Source organism: Homo sapiens, chromosome 4, assembly GCF_000001405.40.
Source record: "Homo sapiens chromosome 4, GRCh38.p14 Primary Assembly".
Taxonomy (NCBI): Eukaryota; Metazoa; Chordata; class Mammalia; order Primates; family Hominidae; genus Homo; species Homo sapiens.
This window is the reverse complement of record NC_000004.12, coordinates 37617734-37637757: the sequence shown is the minus strand read 5'-3', so window position 1 is coordinate 37637757 and position 20024 is coordinate 37617734. Positions and strand designations below refer to the sequence as shown.

The following is a 20024-nucleotide window of genomic DNA, read 5'->3' as shown; positions in this document are numbered from 1 at the left end:
TTATTTCTTCAACAAGGAGCATTTATTGGATGCCTACTGTGTGCTGGGTGCTGCTCTGGAGCTGGACATCCACAGACCCTTGCCATGGAGGAACACAGGATTGGAGATGTGTGTGTGAGGCCTCATGGTGGAGAGCCTGTGAATGCTGTAGGATGGGTGGAGACTGAAGGCTCTGGGGGACCCCGGGGGGCCAATGGGCATTCAGGAAGGTTCATGGAAGAGGTGCCATCTGAACCAGGCGTGCAGGAGGTGGAGACAAGAGTCAGGGCTGGCTGTAGGAAGAAGGGCCAGAAGAAAAGTCACCACATCATGATAGCCTGGGACTCACCTGTGAAGGGTTCAGTCCAGGGTGGCCAGGCCAACTGACATGGCAAAGGGGCTGGATCTTTCTTCACTTGCTATGTGGGTTGTGCACTCAGCACACCTTAGATGTTTAACAGGTGTTTGTCAAACTGGCTACGTTAGATGTGTGTTTTAGAAAGGTAACTCAGAATGCAAGGAGTTGAGTTTAGGAGAGACGTAGAGTCATAGAGACAGAAGAGCTCTGATTTCTCCCACATTCCAGTCCTGGCCACAGACGGCTGGTGTTCTGACCATCTTAGCTCAAGGTGTCTTTGTCTCAGTCATCTTTGGGCATCCTGTAGTGCCCGTCAGTGGGTTTTGTACATAGCTGGTACTTGAGAAATGCTTGTTGAATGAATGTTGTTAAACTCTTGCATTCAGCTTTCTAATATGTGGTGCTAATTTAACATTATTTTACTCCAGGAAGGTACTGCTTTGTGTTTTTATTTTAACAGGTAGGAAGGCATCCCTAAAGAGCACCAGAAGACTTTTGGCTCAGTCATGTTTGAGGCGGTCTCCTCAACCGTAGGCTCTACTTCTTTTTTAAGTGTGTAGGTGGCCAGTTTGCATCACCGAAAAGGCTGGTTTCTGCCATCACAGCCTCCTGTGTGTCTCTGGGGCTCTTGCCACAGTCCAGGTGTCAGGCTGTGGGTGCCACGCCACCCTCAGTACTCCCACCTGCACCAGAGGGCTGATTCCTGCTCAGTTTGGCTCTGTTAGGTTAGAATTCCTCCTTTTCTGCTGGGCCAGAGCCTTCACACATGCTTTTTGAAAATAGCTCTTATCTCGACTATGTATTTCTGCTTTTTTTTTTTTTTTTTGAGACAGAGTCTTGCTTTGTCACCCAGGCTGGAGTGCAGTGGCGCGATCTAGGCTCACTGCAAGCTCCGCCTTCCGGGTTCACACCATTCTCCTGCCTCAGCCTCCCGATTAGCTGGGACTACAGGCGCCCGCCACCACCCCCGGCTAATTTTTTGTATTTTTAGTAGAGATGGGGTTTCATTGTGTTAGCCAGGATGGTCTCGATCTCCTGACCTCGTGATCTGCCCGCTTCGGCTTCCCAAAGTGCTGGGATTACAAGTGTGAGCCACCACGCCTGGCCATATTTCTGCTTTTTATATTTTGGATGGTCTAGCCAAATATATTCCAGATTATCAAAGTGGTCTCTGCTGTTTCTGAAGCACTATACTGTATAGCAAGGTGATTAATTGCATGGTTTCTGGAATTAAACTTTCTAGGTTTGGATCTCAGATCCAGCACTTATTTGCAGTGTGATCTTGGGCAAGTTACCTCACTTCTCCCTGCCTCAATATCCTCATTGTTAAAAGGAAGAAATTAATAATACCTACATCATAAGATTTTATAAGGATTAATTCCATTAACATATACATATAAGATGCTTAGAATACTGTTAGCTATTTAATTATGACTGTTATCAACACCATCAACATCTGTTTTGAACATCACTTTTGATATCTTTGCCTAAAGGCTTTCCTCCTTTGATATAATGGAGATTTGATCAAATGTTTTCTCTAAGTTATCTGATAATTTGATGGAATTTGGGTTCTTCCCTTTTCCAGGGCATATATACTTAGAGAATCTCTTTGCTTAGAGTGATAGGCAGACACTCTGGTATGTGAGAAATTAGGATAATTGCATGAGAAAGGAGATCAGTGTTTTAGAAAGAAACATAATACTTTAAAGCCAGTGTATCACTATTAGAAGCAGTGGTTTATTCCCAGCTAATAAATTCCATTCTAGAAGTGATAAATCACATTTTTTTTTCTTCTAGAGACAGGTCTCACTCTGTCATCCAGGCTGGAGTTCGGTGGTACAATCATAGCTACTGCAACCTTGAACTCCTGGGCTCAAGTGATCCTCCCACCACTGCCTCCCAAGTAGCTGGGACTACAGGCACGCACCATCATGCCTGACTAATTTTTTCATTTTTTTTCAGAGACGAGGTCTCTCTATGTTGCTCAGGCTGGTCTCAAACTCCTGGCCACAAGCAATCCTCCCACTTTGGCCTCTCAAAATGCTGGGATTATAGGCATGAGCTGTTGTGCCTGACCGTGAATCATATTATTATTGCTTAAGATAAACTGTCATCGCATGGTCATGAGAACTGAGTACCTGCTGTCTGAGGTCTGTTCACAAAGTCCATTTGTACAATTGGAAGACGCTTTTTTTTTTCTTTCAATTTAAACTGCTTCTGTCATCACAGGGAGAGAGATCACCTTCGCTGATATTTCCTTTAACCAGTTGCTCTTTTTGTTTTCCTCCCCACATTAGCCCCGTGACCCCCAGCACACCAGGGAGCCCGCCAGTGAGTCCTGGGCCTTTGTCACCAGGGGGGACGCCAGGGAAGCACGTCTGTGGCCATCATCTGCATACGGTGGGCGGTGTTGTCGAGAGGGATGTGTGTCATCGGTGTAGGCACAAGCGGTGGCACTTTATAAAGCCCACTAACAAGTCCAGAGAGAGCAGACCACGGCGCCAAGGCGAGGTCACGGTCCTTTCTGTTGGCAGGTAAGATCCCTTCAGATGCTTTTGGTTTGTGTGTGACATGGGTGCTCTGGTGTGTGGACTTCTGCTTACCTGTCAGATGTAGAATATGTTCTCTGTGCCTGTCTCAGGTTATATCTCTGGGCTTTTTAGATGTTTTCTGGTGTGAGTCCTAGATTTTTCCAACAACAGAAGAATCCTAAAAGGTGGCTGTTGCTAGATCAGATGGTAAATGTATTAAGATAAATACCTACCTGCTCTAACAGATAAAGCCCAGATTTTCAACTGTATACAGAATAGACATTTATATTTCACTTATGGAATCCAGGGCAGGTATTGAGATATCAATGGGTGGCTCTTCAAGTACTTGTCCAGGGTTCCAGGCCCCCTTCGTTTGTGGCTCTGCCAGGTTTGCCAGCCAAAGGAGCAGGTCTGTGGAAGGTTGTTCACGAGGGGTTTTGAAAGAGCTAGGCCTGAGAGTGGCTCGTATCATTTTGACTCACACTCCACTGGCTGGAACTTGATCACCCAGCCAAGCTAACTTTCAGGGAACTGAGAAATAGCATCAAGCCATGTGCAAGGGAAGGGAGAAGACGTGGATCTGGTCCACAGCCCTCCAGTGTCTGTCTGTTAAGTTCCATGTGAATTGCTTTGACTGCTTTCTTTTAGTGGGTGGTGCTTTCCACTGTGTCTTGGCTTTCTTGGTCCTAGTACCTTTCACTTGTGACCCATATGTGAGGTGGAGATCTTGCAGTTCAAGTGATGAATCCATTGGCCCTTACCTGAAGCATCTTTGCAGTGGGATGCTTTTGCAGTTCTGCTGTTAGATGCTGAGTCCCATGCAGGAACTGCATTGCCGATGTTGCATTTGGAAAGACAGTGGGGAGTACTGGTAAGGAACACACATGCTGGAGTGAGACCGGGTGAGCACTGAGCGAAAGTCAACAGTGCTGCTTACATGATCCTTCTCTCTCAGTATACTGACAACCCCCCTGGGAAGAGTAACCTGAACTCGTCACTTCTACCTCCTTCAAGTCCTGGCACCACTACTTACAAACTGTTACGTTGCTCCATGCCTCAGTTTCCCCCTCTGTAAAGTGAGAAGGACAGTCACACTCACCTCATAGAGTTGCTGTGTGTAGACTAGGTGAGGTGACTCACATAAAGGTCTTAAACCAGCTTTGGGTACTTACGCACTCAAGAAATGTTGGCTGGTATTATTTTTATTTTAATTCAGTTGAGTTTCATCATGTGTTGCACAAGCATCATGGAGAAGACTTGCAGGGCTGTTTGCCACTTACAGCAAAACAGCACAATTCATGACCACACTGTTTTATTAAGAAGCAGAGTCATGGGAATTTATGAATGCAAAGCAGTGAGAACCTGTAGCTTGTTTGGACAAAGCATGTTTTGTTGGCCTTAAAAAAAAATCTGCTGAAATTTTCAACTCAGATTCAACATGCCTTTTTTTTTTTTTTTTTTTTTTTTTTTTTTTTTTTTTTGAGGTGGAGTCTCACTCTGTCACCCAAGCTGGAGTGCAGTGGTGTGAACTCGGCTCACTGCAGCCTCTGCCTCCTGGGCTCAAACGATTGTCGTGCCTCAGCCTCCCGAGTAGCTGGGACTGCAGGTGCCCGCCACCATGCCTGGCTAATTTTTGTATTTTTAGGAGAGACGGGGTTTCACCAAGTTGGCCAGGCTGGTCTCGAACTCCTGACCTCAAGTGATCCACCTGTCTTGGCCTCCCAAAGTGTTGGGATTACAGGTGTAAGCCACCGTGCCTGGCCAAACATGGCTTTTTAAAATGCCCCAAATCCAACTCTCTTTCTTGGATATTGGATACTAGGAGCGCTTAATGATTCCAGGCTGTTTTTCAGCATGTATTACTTAAGAGAGTCTTACAGTTTGACAGAATAGATTTGTGTTTACAGTTTCCCTGTTATTTCTTTCACTTCTTCAGAGCCTTCTCTTCAGGGTTGGTGATCTTATTTTGGACACAGAAGGAGAATTTATTTCAGATAATTTTTAAGGGAAATTAAGACCAGAACTAGAAAGAAGCTGTTATGAAAGACTCTAGGATTTGGTGATGATATACTAGAAAAAACAGTTAAACTGAATACATTTATTTAACTCTTAATTCTTAATGAAAATCTCTTCCTTAACTTCCTTTAGTTTTTCCTTAATCTATAATGAAAATTAACCCATTTTTTTTAAAGGCTTACTCTCAAACCCTAATGCTGATAAAATGTGTTTCTAGGGCTCTTCAGATTTTCTGCATATGTGTGAGAGCATGTGTGTGCGTGTGTGTGTTGAGATAGGACTGCCTGACAGTTGCATATTTTCGGAAGTTCGTCATCTTCTGGTAAACATTCTGGTTACGTCAGTCTAATTTGTAAACCAGTTGAGCATTTAACCAGGTTTCTGTGGTTAAAAAAACTGATGTAGGCCAGACATGGTGGCTCACGCCTATAATCCCAAAACTTTGGGAGGCTGAGGCAGGTGGATCACCTGAGGTTGGAGTTTGAGACTGGCCTGGCCAACATGGTGAAACTCCATCTCTACTAAAAATACAAAATTAGCCAGGCATGGTGGCACATGGCTGTAATCCCAGCTACTTGAGAGGCTGAGGCAGGAGAGTCGCTTAAACCCAGGAGGTGGAGGTTGCAGTGAGCCGAGATTGTACCACTGCACTCCAGTCTGGGCAGCAAGAGGGAAACTCTGTCTCGAAAACAAATAAACAAAAAAACTGATCATTGTTAGAAACGACAACTCTGACGCTGTTTAATATTCGAGTCTCTGAGGTGTTTTTTTTTTTTTTTTTTTTTTTTTCCTTATTGAGACAGGGTCTAGCTCTGTTGCCCAGGCTGGAGTGCATGACGTGATCTCGGCTCACTGCAACCTCCAGCTCCTGGGCTCAAGTGATTCTCCTGCTTCAGCCTCCCGAGTAGCTGGGACTACAAGTGCACACCACCACACCTGGCTAATTTTTGTAATTTCTGTAGAGACAGAGTTTTGCCATACACCCAGTCTGGTCTCAAATTCCTAGGCTCAAGCAATCCACCCACCTCAGCCTTCCAAAGTGCTGCTGGGATTGCAGGTATAAGCCACCATGCCTGGCCAATACCTGAGTTTTTAAATGCCTTTTGCATGCTCTGTAAAATATCCGGCTTAGTCTGTGATGTGGCTGAGTAGAAATCAGCTGGAAGGTTGGGCAGGGGCCAGGGGAATGTACTGGATAGGAATGCATGTTCGAATATGTTGTTTTTCATTTGTGTCCTAACTTTTGGCTGAGTTCATTTGAGATCCTCTGGGTGGATGATTTTTGCTTTATTCATAATTCTTGTTTATTAGAAAAGCAAACCCCATCACCTCTCCCCATTCCCCCCTCAGATTTAGAGTTACAAAAGTGGAGCACAAGTCAAACCAGAAGGAACGGAGAAGCCTGATGTCTGTTAGTGGGGCTGAAACCGTCAATGGGGAGGTGCCGGCAACACCTGTGAAGAGAGAACGCAGTGGCACAGAGTAGCAGGTGAGCCGTGGTTTTGGTGACATTGGGGGCAGAGTGGTGCAGGGTGAGGAGAAGGTACTTGGAGCCTCCCAGGTGCTGTGGCAGCATAGGAATGGTATTTGACAGGGAAGTGGGAGAGCTTTCCTTGACCCAGGAAGACTGAGGGGGACTGAACATGATTACTTGTCTGCCTAGAGCTTCTTGTAAAGAAGTCACAAACTTAGTGCCTCCAGGGGCTTGGCCTGTGTGATAATGAGGATAGAGGATTACTTGTGAGGCAATGTGGCATGGTGGGGATTGTGGCAAACTAGAATTCACATCACCCACCATATAGGGCTTGCATTACCACGAGGCAGAAAGCACCTAGTGTTGCTGCATCTTCTTACGCAAAAAAAGACAAAATCCAGACTTCTAAAATGTAAAATCACTGATTTTCGATATTGGCAGCTTACTTTTTTTTTTTTAAACAACCATGCAGGCCAAATGACTTGTAATCTTGTCACCATTTTTAGGTAAACTGTGACTTGAAAAAGTCTGGAGCAAACAAACCAATGCTTTTTCCTTTTATTCTGTTGGAAACCAGTTTTCTTTGTGTCACAGTTCTGAAACCTCAATACGAATATTTCTCTTCCCACCAAATATTTTGAGGCAATTGAAAAGCCACAGTGATTTATTTCTTGATTTGGCAATTTTAATTTTGCAAGACACTGCTTAAAAAAAAAACAACACGCAGCTGGGCACGGTGGCTCACGCCTGTAATCCCATGTAATCCCAGCACTTTGGGAGGCCGAGGCAGGCGGATCATGAGGTCAGGAGATCGAGACAATCCTGGCTAACATGGTGAAACCCTGTCTCTACTAAAAAATACAAAAAAGTAGCCGGGCGTAGTGGTGGGCACCTGTAGTCCCAGCTACTCAGGAGGCTGAGGCAGGAGAATGGCGTGAACCCGGGAGGCGGAGCTTGCAGTGAGCCGAGATCACGCCACTGCACTCCAGCCTGGGCGACAGAGCGAGACTCGGTCTCAAAAAAAAAAAAAAAAAAAAAAAAAACCACACACACACGCACCAGAACCCTGTGATAAATTGATAGTGGCTTAACTTTCATCTTAACTCCTTTATTTCTGTTCCGGCTTGAGTGGTATTTATCCTTTCCATGTTTCTTATCCCTTGTAAAAGAGCAACGGTGACGATTTGGGAGGGATCATGCCCTAAGTGCTCCATGGAACCATCAGAGCCTGAACATGAAGGCAGAAGAGTTTACACTTACATAGGGAAGGGAGGGCGGGCAATGGGGGAGAGGTCAGGCAGGGACACAGCAAAACTGACATGAACCCTGGAGTCAGACTGCCAGGTTCAAGCTCCAGTGTGCCACTCACTAACCCTGGGACCTGGGCAAGATACTTGAGCTTTCTATGCCTCACTGGAAATTGGAAGTGGTGCTCTTTGCCTCAGGGGCGGGAGTGAGATTTCCATGAAGTTGCACGTGTGAAGGCAGGGCCTGGCACGTGGGAAATGCTCCGTCCATGCTACTGATTATTACCATGTGATTCATTCATTTTTGGTCGGTGTGGCTGAGTGGAGGAGAGATGTGGCTTTTGGGTGAAGCTTCTCTGATAATCTGCCGGGCTCAGAGGGTTGAAGGTGCTCTGGAAGCAATCTGGAACAACTCTGTGCACCTAAATTTTCTGAGACATAGGGACTCTGATCATTTTCTAGTGTTAGTTAGCCCTCGCGGTTTTGCCTGTGGGGAGATCTGGCGTCTCTTCCTGAGTTTAGGAGCAGAATAGGAGCCTTCTTAAAGAGAGAAACAGTACAGAAAAGTCTACCATTGGCTTCTCAGCCAGTTACTGGTGACCTTAGGGAAGGGAGTCAAGAGGAATTTAAGAAGAGGATGATGAAGATGGGTAATAACAGCAGCTAACGTTAATTCAATATTCTAGTCTTCTAGGCATGGTACTGATGTGTTTCTCACATGTCATCATTATAAACCTCTCCAAATGGGGTTAGTACTATGATCATAGTTTTACAGATGAGGAAACTGATGAATGGGAAAGGTGAGTTACATGTTGAAGGTCATATAGCTGGAAAGAGGAGCATTCTGATTAAGGTCAGTGAAGGACTTGGCTATCTGGGAAGAGAAGCATCTGGCTATTCAAGTCTTAGGTGAGGAAGGCCCAGCCAGCTTAGCTGCAAAGAAAGTATGGGTCATAAGGACAGGCTGAGTATGAGTCATCAACTGGGCAGTGAGTTGAGAGATGGAGCCGATTGCACCAGAAGACCTGGCTTGCCCTCGATTAGGAACTGCAAGATGATCCTCTTGTCAGACTCACCTCTGATTAGAGCTTGGCTAACTAGTGCCATGGCTGATTTTGGCCACCACTGCCCAGAGAGCGGTACTCTAGATCTGGGAAGGTTAGAAGGAATTAGGATTGCTCAGCTGGTTTTTTTGGCCCGAATCTGTCTGATTCTGATTATAGAAATTTGGTCCAAGCATCTGAAGTCCTGACCACATTTAACTGATTTACAATGAGATATTCTCTGCACAGCACACTGTTATTCAACAGGATTATATAAACGAGGATTGGATTTGATCAGAAGACATGGGTGCAAATCTGAGCTTCACAATTTGGACATTGTACTTAACTGCCCTACCCCTGGTTTCCTTGAACGTGAAATAAGGTATTAAATTCATTGTTTTAATCCAAGAGCCAAGAGAAAGTCTGGAATGTAGTTGGTTCTCAGTAGAAGGTAGTCATATTGTGTTGTGCTGCTCAAATCACAATGAGCACGAGTGGCCTTCAAAGGGTGACGTGTTTTCCGAGCCTCCAACTTGTTGTAATTGATTTTCAAATTAAAAATTAATTCTTCGTTATGAAAAATTTTAAACTCAAAAGTAGAATAGTATCATGGATGTCCATGATCCATGGAGTAAATTAATTATAATACCTACAGTTTTTTGGGTATTCTGTACTTGGGCATGCTTTGAAAGGCACATTCCGTGTATTAGCTAATTTCTGTAATCCTCGCCACGGCAGTCTATAGGTGCTAGTACCCCATTTTGCAGATGAAGGTCTTAAGCACAGAGAGTTTAAACAACTTGTTTAGAGATACCAGCAAGAATGTGATAGAGTTAGACTTGAACCTGGGCAGCCTTGCTTCAGGTGTCACAGACTTCATTCAACTGGGTCCAAGACGAGCAGGTCCCATGAGTAGAGCCTGCTCAGATTGAGACCTGCTGGGTGGCCCTATCTGATTACCCCAATGAAGTATAGGCCCTGAAAAAGGAAGGAAGGGAATATTCATTGGTGTTTTAAAAATTATGTATTCATTAAAATTTTTCTTGCAGTTTTTTTTCTTTTCAAATCTCATCCCCCCAAAAAAAGTATGTTTGGGACATTTAACATGACTTGATTTTCCAACTAGAAAAATTCTGAAAATTTTACTTCTGGGCCAGACTCTCTGGTTCTAGACGAAGCCAGAAGATCTGCACTGGAATGCAGCTAGTGAAGCAGGAGAGGAGTGCTATGTGTCTCTTCTACAATCTGATACAGTCTTTAGAGTTGTATTTTTTCCTGAAAGAGGTTTTTGCTCAAATTTGGATTTTTAGCCAAACAATTTTACTGCAATGTTTTGTTTTATTGTAGAACAGACTCAAATATTCAAATACAAATGCATATCCACTTATTGGTTAGGTTTCTTTTTTTATTTCTTTTGTTTAAGGTGTTTGTTACCAGAAACTAAACTTATATTCTAAATAGAATGTTATCAAGACTGTGGCAGGATTTCTCTCTCTCCCTTCTGGTTCCTTCTCCCTTTAAAACCCCAAATCTGATGTTGGGCATGGCCTCCCCATTCGTCTAACCCTGCTTTGTTGGTCTGAGTTCTTGTTTGTGGCTACATCTAACTTGCCCTCTTGCCCTCTGCCTGATTTATTTTGGCAATGCGGTTAAAATGGTCTTTTTTCTGCAGAAAATGTGTTTTGGTTTCTCCTGAGAAGAATAAGCTTTTGTTCTTCAAAGTTAAATAAATTGAATTGCTTTCAGCCTCCAAATGCCACTGCCTTGTCTTCATTGTCACTGGTCTTTGGCTTTTTAAAAATGATCCTGTCCTAAGCATTCTGTGTCGCATGTTTCTGAAGTCTGCCCTCTTTTGTTCCATTCGCTGATAGTGTCCTGTTGGAAACATTGATTTAGTAAGTTTACATAACCATACTTTAAAATTTTTTATTGAAAATTAATCAGATTTTAATGGACACATGAAAGTTGCATATATTTATCATGTGCAATGTAATGTTTTCAAATGTGTGTACACTGCGATGGCTAAATTGAGCTAATGAACGTATGCATTGCCACACATACTTATAATTTTTTTGCGTGGTGAGAACACTCCAAATCTACTCTCTTAGCAATTTTTAAGAATATGATACATTGTTATTAACTGCAGTCACCATGTTGTACAATAGATCTCTTGAAATTATTTATCCCCTCTAACTAAAATTTTGTGTCTTTTGACCAACCCCTCCCCCGCCCCTACCTCTAACCACCTTTCTTCTCTCTGCTTCTATGAGTTCAACTTTTTTTAGATTCCACATGTAAGTGAGATGACGTGGTATTTGTCGTTCTGTGCCTGGCTTATTTCACTCAATGTAATGTGCTCCAGGTTTATCCATTTTATCTTCAATGACAGGATTTCCTTCTTTTTTTCTGGCCGAACAGTGTTTCATTATGTATCTATACTACATTTTATTCATTCATATGTTCAGGGACTCTTAGGAAGATTCCATATCTTGGCTATTGGGATAATGCAGCAGTGGACATGGCAGTACAGATATCTCTTTGACATACTGATTTCAGTACCTCTGGATATGTACTGAGAAGTGGGATTGTTGGATCATATGGTAGTTCTATTTTTAATTTGTTTGTTTGTTTTCTGAGACAGAGTCTCACTCTCGCCCAGGTTGCAATGCAGTGGGACAATCTCGGCTCACTGCAGCCTCTGCCTCCCGGGTTCAGACGATTCTCCTGCCACAGCCTCCTGAGTAGCTGGGATTGCAGATGCAAGCCACCACACCTGGCTAACTTTTGTATTTTTAGGAGAGACAGGGTTTCATCATGTTGGCCAGGCTGATCTTGAACTCCTGATCTCAAGTGATCCACCTGCCTCGGCCTCCCAAAGTGCTTGGATTACAGGTGCAAGCCACTGTGCCCGGTCTATTTTTAATTTTTGTTAGTGACCTGCGTACTGTTTTCCATGATGACTGTAATAATGTATATTCCCACTAACAGTATGCAAGAATTTCTTTTTCTCCACATCCCCATCAGCACTTTTTTTATAATTGTCATTCTAACAGGTGTGAGGTATTATCTCATTATAGTTTTAATTTATATTTCCATGATGATTAGTAATGTTGAGCCTTTTTTTCATATATTTGTTGGCCATTTGTAGGTCTTCTTTTGAGAAATTTCTATTTAGAATCTTTGCCCATTACAATTTTTTTAACATTTTATTTATTTTTATTGACAAAAATTATCTATATTTATTATGTACGACATGTTGTTTTGAAACATGCATACATTATGGAATGGCTAAATTGAGCTGATTGACATATGTATTACATCATATATTTATCATTTTTTTGTGGTGAGGATATTTAAAATCTCTCTTAGCATTTTTCAAGAATACAATACATTGTTATTAACTGTAGCCACCATATTGTGCAATAGATTTCTGATACAGTCTTTAGAGTTGTAATTTTTCCTGAAAGAGGTTTTTGCTCAAATTTGGATTTGATGGCCTATTCCTCCTAATTGAAATTTTATGTCCTTTGACCATCATCTCCCCAACCCTCCCTTCCCATTTTGCCCCATTTTTAAATTGGGTTATTTGTTTTCTTGCTTTTGAGTTGTTTGTGTTTCTTATATATTTTGGATAGTAACCATTTATAAGATGTATGGTTTGCAAATATTTTCTCCCATTTTATAAGTTATCTCTTCACTCTGTTGATTGCTTTGCTCTGCAGAAGCTTTTTAGTTTGATGAAATCCCATTTGTCCATTTTTGTTGCCTGCGCTTTTGGGATCTTATCAAAAAATCATTGTCCAGATCAGTGTCATGGAACTTTCCTCCTATGTGTTTTTCTAGTAGTATTGCAGTATTACAGTAGCATTTCTTTTATCAAAACAAAAATTCATAATATTAGACATCTGTTTTTATTTTTGTTTTATTCAGACTATTGTATTGATTTTTATTTTAGTAATTTATTTCAGTGATTAAAAGCTGGGTTTTAAACTCCTTACTTTTAATTGTGCCACTTAACTACCAATGGTTTTGGGCAAGTTACTTAATGTTTTCAAGCCCCGGTTATTTCATCTTTAAAATGAGATCGTTGCTGGACATACATGATACGATATATGTGTAGTTCATAAGTCAATCCTTGGCACAGAGTATCTGCTAAACATTCACTGCTGTTAACAATTGTCATGGCTGGTGGTCTTAATTATTTATTAGGTCATTTCTGAAGCATCAGCTTTTGGTACTGTGAATTCCTTTTTACATCTTAAGAACATTACAGCTTTGGACTCTCAGGACATCTCAGAAATAGATAGTATTTGTCAAGTCCCTTAGGAATTTGGGCCATTTTCTTGTTTGCATTAAGGAGGCCTTAGAAATAACCATTCCCGGCTGGGCGCGGTGGCTCACGCCTGTAATCCCAGCACTGTGGGAGGCCGAGGTGGGCGGATCACGAGGTCAGGAGATCGAGACCATCCTGGCTAACACAGTGAAACCCCGTCTCTACTAAAAAATACAAAAAAAAAAATTAGCCGGGCGTGGTGGCGGGTGCCTGTAGTCCCAGCTACTCTGGAGGCTGAGGCAGGAGAATGGCGTGAACCTGGGAGGTGGAGGTTGCAGTGAGCCGAGATTGCACACTGCACTGCACTCCAGCCTGGGCGACAGAGGGAGACTCTGCCTCAAAAAAAAAAAAAAAAAAAGAAAGAAAGAAAGAACCATTTCCTTCTTCCAAGAGGTGGAATTAAAATTACTAACAAGGAGATGGAAAAGTTTTGCTGACAAGTTCTTTTTATTATAAAAATCAGAGGGTGGGATAAATTGAAATGCTGGACAGAGACGTTTTCGGCCTAAGCGTGACTGCTGTGCCGGTGTTCTGCTTTGGAATAAAAGTCTCCTCTTTGTCAAGACTCTTTCATGGCTCAAACTCCCTCCTGAGCATCTGTGGCTGGTCACAAGGTGGCTCTTCTGACCTTCGGCCGCCTTCATGTTCTCCTCTAACAGTGAGGAAAGGCTCCTTGGCTCCTTTTTTTGGACTCTGTGGCAGGAATTATAGTAGAAGCTCCTTGGGGACCCCCTCGGAAGTCGTACTGCTTGATTTGCAGTCCTCTCAATTGCTTTTCTTTTATTAACTCTCCAGGAAGCAGTTAATGATGAGAAACTGCAGGTACTACTAGTTAGTTTATTTTTTTCTCTCTAGCTGTAATTTTTTCAGGAAAAAATGCATCTTTTTTAAAAAGCAAAAGGATCTCAGATTTGATGGGAACCCTTTAACTTGATTCACTGGTCTTACGGGGCAACAGAATATAAAAAGAAACTGCACCTAAAGTAGGCATGGATTAGGCCACCTGGCTTGGTTTTCAGTTGCTAAACACATTTCTCAAAGGTAAAAGTAGTGCCGTGATGCCTGCCGTACTCCTGTGTGGGAGACTGAGCCCACTGAGTCCATCTGAAATGTGGAGGTGGAGGGAGGTGAGCATCTGCCCAGGCCCTGCTCTGTGAAGCCTAGGTAGGTAGAACCGGCCAGATGAAGAGAAAAGCTGAGTGAAGGATGGGACTTTAGAAGCAATTTTAGGAGTTGTAGGTAATAATATCCTATTTTACAGATGAAGAGCCAGGCTTAGAGGGATTAATGTTCCCCATATCTCAGGGCTAGGTAGTGAGAGGGCTTGGATGGGAAGAAATTTATACTTGGGAGCTTACATGCTCAGTGGCCGTGGAGTGTGAGGGAGCTTTGCTTTTCTTGGCAAGAAAGCAAATCAACCGCCGTTTCTTCACATAGCTCAATAGCTCACAGAACTGATCATTCCAGCCTTTGGATGGCCTCCTTGGCATCCGATGGGATCATCTGATGAGCAGCTGATGGATTTTAAGGCTCTGTCTGGATCAGGTCCAGGTGTGTGAGCCATTCAGTTTTCTTCCAGGTAGATGAAGGTCATAGACTTGCAGACTCCAGAGCAGCTGTGATTGCTAGTTCAGATCAATGGAGGTACAATTATATCTTTAAAAAGTATTTCTTGGCCGGGTGCGGTGGCTCACACCTGTAATCTCAGCACTTTGGGAGGCCAAGGTGGGCAGATCATGAGGTCAGGAGTTCGAGACCAGCCTGGACAACACGGTGAAACCCCATCTCTACTAAAAATACAAAAATTAGGTAGGCATGGTGGCGGGCACCTGTAGTCCCAGCTACTCGGGAGGCTGAGGCAGGAGAGTCAGTTGAACCCGGGAGGCAGAGGTTGCCGTGAGCCGAGATCATGCCACTGCACTTCAGCCGGGGTGACAACAGCAAGACTCTGTCTCAGAAAAAAAAAAAAAAAAAAAAGCATTACTTGAGACCCTACTATGTGCCAGGCAGTTTGCTGTGTTTAGGGATGTGGCAGTGTGTCAGACAGACAATGAAGACCATACTCTTACAGAGCTTCTATCCTAGTGCTTATACCAGACTTTTCTCCCCTGCACCTCCCAGTCCCCTTGTTTAGTGTGTGTTGTTACATGTGTTGTTCAAGATCATGCCGAGAGTTCATTACGGAGCCAGGACCTGGGCTTCCTTATAGCTCATTCCTTTACTGTCTCCAGTGTATTGGATATTACAAGTGTTTGAAATGGAATTTTTAAAAAAGAACTGAAATATAAGAAATGCATAGGATAAAATATTTAAACAGCCTAAAAGTCTGCAGGGTGAAAAATAAATCCCAAAAATAAATCTTTGCTCCATTTTTATCCTGCTAATCCCTTTGCGTGTATCACCTCTTAAACCTTTTCTCAAGAGGACACCAGTGTGATCAGTGTTCACTATGTCCTTTCAGGATTATGCTGTGCATATACATGCTTATGCAATATATCTGTGTATATAAAGCCCCTCCTTTTGCCCTTCTACAAATGAGAGTATAGATACTACACTTGTTCATACCTTGTTTTTTATTGAAGTTAGTGATTTTTAGGTTCTGTGGTTCCCTGACTGTTGAGATTTTGTCTTACTCACAAATGACTGAGGAAGAACCAGCTTTTACTCTCCCACATTGACTGAGCCATAAGGAGTGAAAATGGTAGACACAGTTAAAAAGCTATATGCCCTATTTGTCCTCAGTTGTTGGGAGTGGCTCCAGTACATTTATGGCCATGATCTGGGAGTTTTTGAGTGGACCTAAAAACATGCTTTACTGTCATCAACTATGATGTTTTTTCTAAGTTATTCTTCCATGGCCTTGTTCTGTGCACAGGAGATACTAAAACATATTTATTAGTATTCCCAGAGTTTAGACAACATGGGTGACCAGGAATTTTTGATTTGTTTTGCTTTGAGTTGCCACCAAAGCAAGCCATCTCCTCCTAACACATATCTCCCTGGGCAGGGGCCTGCCCCAGGGCCCCTTCCTATTGTTGACCAGGAGTTGACCCACTGAAGGAGAGCTTATCTGTTCTTCCTCTTTATCCCTATCACCTGTTTGACATCTGCTCTTTTCACTGCAGAAATTGAGCAGTGTTGGAGGCTAGAGACTTTGGAGGGCCTAAAGACAGACCCAAGGGGGCTTGAGGGAAGCGGAAAATGAAAGGCTTTCGGAGACATTTTTACCTATAATTAGAAAGAAAATGGAATTAATGGTTATAATCAGGATTTTTATTTTTCTTTATTTTTTTCCTTATTTTATTATTATTATTATTTTTTGAGATGGAGTCTTGCTCTGTCCCCCAGGCTGGAGTGCAGTGGCGCGATCTTGGCTCACTGCAAGCTCTGCCTCCCAGGTTCACGCCATTCTCCTGTCTCAGCCTCCCGAGTAGCTAGGACTGCAGGTGCCCACCACCACGCCTGGCTGATTTTTTGTATTTTTAGTAGAGAAGAGGTTTTGCTATACTAGCCAGGATGGTCTTGATCTCCTGATCTTGTGATCTGCCTGCCTCGGCCTCCGAAAGTGCTGGGATTACAGGCGTAAGCCACCGCGCCTGGCCGATTTTTCTTAATTTGTGCCTTGAGACCTTGAGTTCTACTAACATTAAATAGCTTAAGTTAAAACAGTACCTATTTTCTGTAAGTAACAGGACATAGGATACTGTAGTGGTTCCACCATAGAGGTTCTGGAATCAGACTTCTTGCGCTCAAGATCTTGGCTGTCACTTTTTAGCTATCTAGCTTTGGGCAAATTACTTAGCCTCTGATGCCCCAGCTTCTCCATCTGTTAAGTGGGGATAATAATACTACTACTACTTCGTAGGGATACTGTTCCTTTGCCCTAAGTAAGTACAAAATAGGTTAGGTGTTAAATTACTATATCGGATCAGCCCTATTTAAACATGTAGCCAATAAAAGTGTTAAAATTAATGTTTTTGATATTTCTTGATTCTCTTGAAGCTCATAGAGGCCAGGTTAGACATAACCTATAAGGTAATAGCAGTATTGTCCATTTGATATTCAAGTGGAGGCTTACTGAAGGCCAGTTAGCTGAACTCTGTCTAGCTCACAAGCCAGTAGAGAGGCAATATCTAACTTGTTCCATTTTCCTTATTAGAAAGAGATGGTACTATTCAGAGTAATAAGTTATTCTGCCTGTAGCTTAGTGTAGACATTAAATCAGAAGTGTGTTGAGACTAGTAGGGAACTGCTGAATTGCATTTAAATAATTTCCAGTTGAATCCTTGTTTTTCCAGGTACAGAATAACTTTTGATGTCAGTTACATTTTACTTGGAATAAGGTGCTCTGATTCTACCATCTCAAAGGCTGGTAAATCACAAGTGTTCAGTTGCTGTCACTTGGGAAACCCATTGTTGCTAAATATATAAGTATGTTGAAATTGCTGTGAGAATATAACCCAGTAAAGAACAACCTTCAGACTTCAGATCTAAATCTAATGTCAGAAGATTCAAAACTGTAAGGAATGCAAAATTTCTCACTGGTATTATTCAACAAAGAAGATAATATAATTTGCAGGAATATACATTTCTGTCTATGCTAGTTAAAAAAAGTGATTTCTATTTTGAATGGAGAAACACACCTAGAAACATTATTTTTCCTGAATTGACCCACATACATAGAAAGCTTCTCACTATTGATATTAAAAAATTAAGGTTTTAGTTATTAAGCCCCCTTCTCAAATTGGGGGTTATAATATGCAACTCATGGAAGATGTAGTAGTCAATAAACATAAAAAATGCCCAACTTTACTAATAATGAAATAAATCCAAACTGAGATCACTTTTTGCTTCTCTGGTGACAAAGATGAATGTTAACACTAGCATGACCATATAACTCACATCCAAAATGAGGAGGTAGCTCACACCTGTAATCCCAGTGCTTTGGGAGGCTGAGGTGGGAGGATGGCTCGAGGCCAGGAGTTTGAGACCAGCCTGGGCAACATAGTGAGATCCTGTCTCTGCAAATTAAAAATTAAAAAATTAGCTGGGCATGTGGCATACACCTGTAGTCCCAGCTACTTGGGAGGCTGAGGTGGAAGGATTTCTTGAGCTCAGTAGTTGGAGGCTGTAGTGAGTCAGGATCATGCCACTGCATTCCAGCCTGGGTGACAGAGAGAGACTCTGCAGAGAATAAAAGGGAACACTGTGAATAATTATTCTGGGTAAACATATATAAACCAAGACCTCCCAGGCAAACTGGTTCATGTGGTCACCTTGGTTAAAAGGGTGCAGGGGCTGGGTGCGGTGGCTCACGCCTGTAATCCCAGCACTTTGGGAGGCTGACGCAGGTGGATCACGAGGTCAGGAGTTCAAGACCACCCTGGCCAATATGGTGAAACCCCGACTCTACTAAAAATACAAAAATTAGCCAGGTGTGATGCCGCACGCCTGTAGTCCCAGCTACTCGGGAGGCTAAGGCAGGAGAATCGCTCGAACTTGGGAGGCGGAGGTTGCAGTGAGCCGAGATTGCGCCACTGCACTCCAGCCCGGGTGACAGAGCGAGGCTCCTTCTAAAAAAAAAAATGTGGTGCAGGGAGGTGGGTGCAGTGGCTCACGCCTGTGATCCCAGCACTTTGGGAGGCTGAGGCAGGTAGATCACCTGAGGTTGGGAATTCAAGACCAGCCTGACTAACATGGAGAAACCCCATCTCTATTAAAAATACAAAAATAGCTGGGGGTGGTGGCGCATGCCTGTAATCCCACCTACTCGGGATGCTGAGGCAGGAGAATCACTTGAACCCGGGAGGCGGAGGTTGCAGTGAGACGAGATCACACCATTGCACTCCAGCCTGGGCAACGAGAGCGAAACTCCGTCTCAAAAGAAAAGAAAAGAAAAGAAAAGAAAAACGACCAACCAACCAAACAAAAATCAAGAGGGTGCAGGGAGATGGACATTATCCCACACCAAAGCAGGAGGCTACAATGGTCTAGACCTTTGTGGTGGCAATCTGGAACTGTAAAAACTTAAATATGTACTCTTTGACCAAATTATTCCAATTAATAAATATCATGCATAAATGCAAAGATAATGTCCAAAGTTGTTCACTTTAGCATTATTTACATAGTAGCAAGTACCTGGAAGCATCTTTAAATACATCTATCAATGGGAGATTAAGTAAATGAATTGTGCCTTATGCATTTCATAATGGCCTGCAAATGCCAAAGATTGAAGTAGATGCTGGGTGTGATAGCTCATACCTGTAATCCCAGCAGTTCGGGAGGCTGAGGCTGGAGGACTGCTTGAAGCCAGAAGTTTGAGATCAGCCTGGGCAACATAGTGACCCTGTCTCTACTTAAAAAAATAAATAAATAAAAAAAAATAAAAAATTAGCTGAGTAGGGTGGCATGCACCTGTAGTCCCAGCTACATGGGAGGATAAAGTGGTAGCTTGAACTCCATGACTTAAGCCCAGGAGTTCGAGGTTCCAGCAAGCCATGATTGTGCCACTGTACTCCAGCCTGGGCAACAGAGTGAGACCCTGTCTCTTAAAAAAAAAGAAAAAAAGATTGATGTAGAGTTATATGTACAGACACAGAGCATCTACTGTATATTATTAGATGAAAAAAACAAGTTATAAAATATTCCAGTTGTGTTTAAAAATGATATGCAGCATGGCTCAGTTTTTCTTGCGTCGAAGCTGATTGTTTAAGCTTCCTCCCTGCATACACTAAGCTCCTTCAGGACTTGGGCAGTGCCTTTGGATGGTGTCTTCTCATCCTTTGCTGAGACTTTAGGTGGCATCTTGGCATCTTGTACATAGTTGGCCCTCAGTGATTCCTTAACAGGTGTGATAATATGGCATTCATCTCATCATTACAAGAGCCCTCTGCAAATTAGTCGAATTCTAGTTCCCAACTACTTTGAAATACATTTAAAAACAGATTCTGTAATTTTAAAATTGAGTTACTGATTTTTTGTTTTGTTTTGTTTTGAGACGGAGTCTCACTCTGTCACACAGGCTGGAGTACAGTGGTGCAATC

General features: G+C 42.7%; 1 protein-coding gene across 9 annotated transcripts in view, besides 2 other annotated features; it reads left to right on the top strand.

The window, feature by feature from the left end:
* Positions 1–20024, top strand: part of RELL1 (RELT like 1) — a 100073-nt gene that overhangs the window by 48619 nt on the left and 31430 nt on the right. For all 9 annotated transcript variants that reach the window (XR_007057961.1, XR_007057960.1, XR_007057958.1 and 6 more), the window contains 2 exons: positions 2635–2871; positions 6235–6373. Coding sequence is in view for 3 of the 9 variants with exons in the window: in NM_001085399.2 (NP_001078868.1) it covers positions 2635–2871; positions 6235–6370 (373 nt within the window). In the remaining 6 variants the exon portion in view is untranslated. The remainder of the gene's footprint in view (positions 1–2634; positions 2872–6234; positions 6374–20024) is intronic.
* Positions 2203–2703: an enhancer, noted in NCBI's record as "H3K4me1 hESC enhancer chr4:37636677-37637177 (GRCh37/hg19 assembly coordinates)". NCBI's record gives its function as "activates a minimal SCP1, AML or CMV promoter by ChIP-STARR-seq in primed H9 embryonic stem cells {active_cell/tissue: H9 hESC(primed)}" and the evidence as "EXISTENCE:reporter gene assay evidence [ECO:0000049][PMID:30033119]".
* Positions 5312–5361: an enhancer, noted in NCBI's record as "active region_21414". NCBI's record gives its function as "activates an Ori minimal core promoter by ATAC-STARR-seq in GM12878 lymphoblastoid cells {active_cell/tissue: GM12878}" and the evidence as "EXISTENCE:reporter gene assay evidence [ECO:0000049][PMID:35858748]".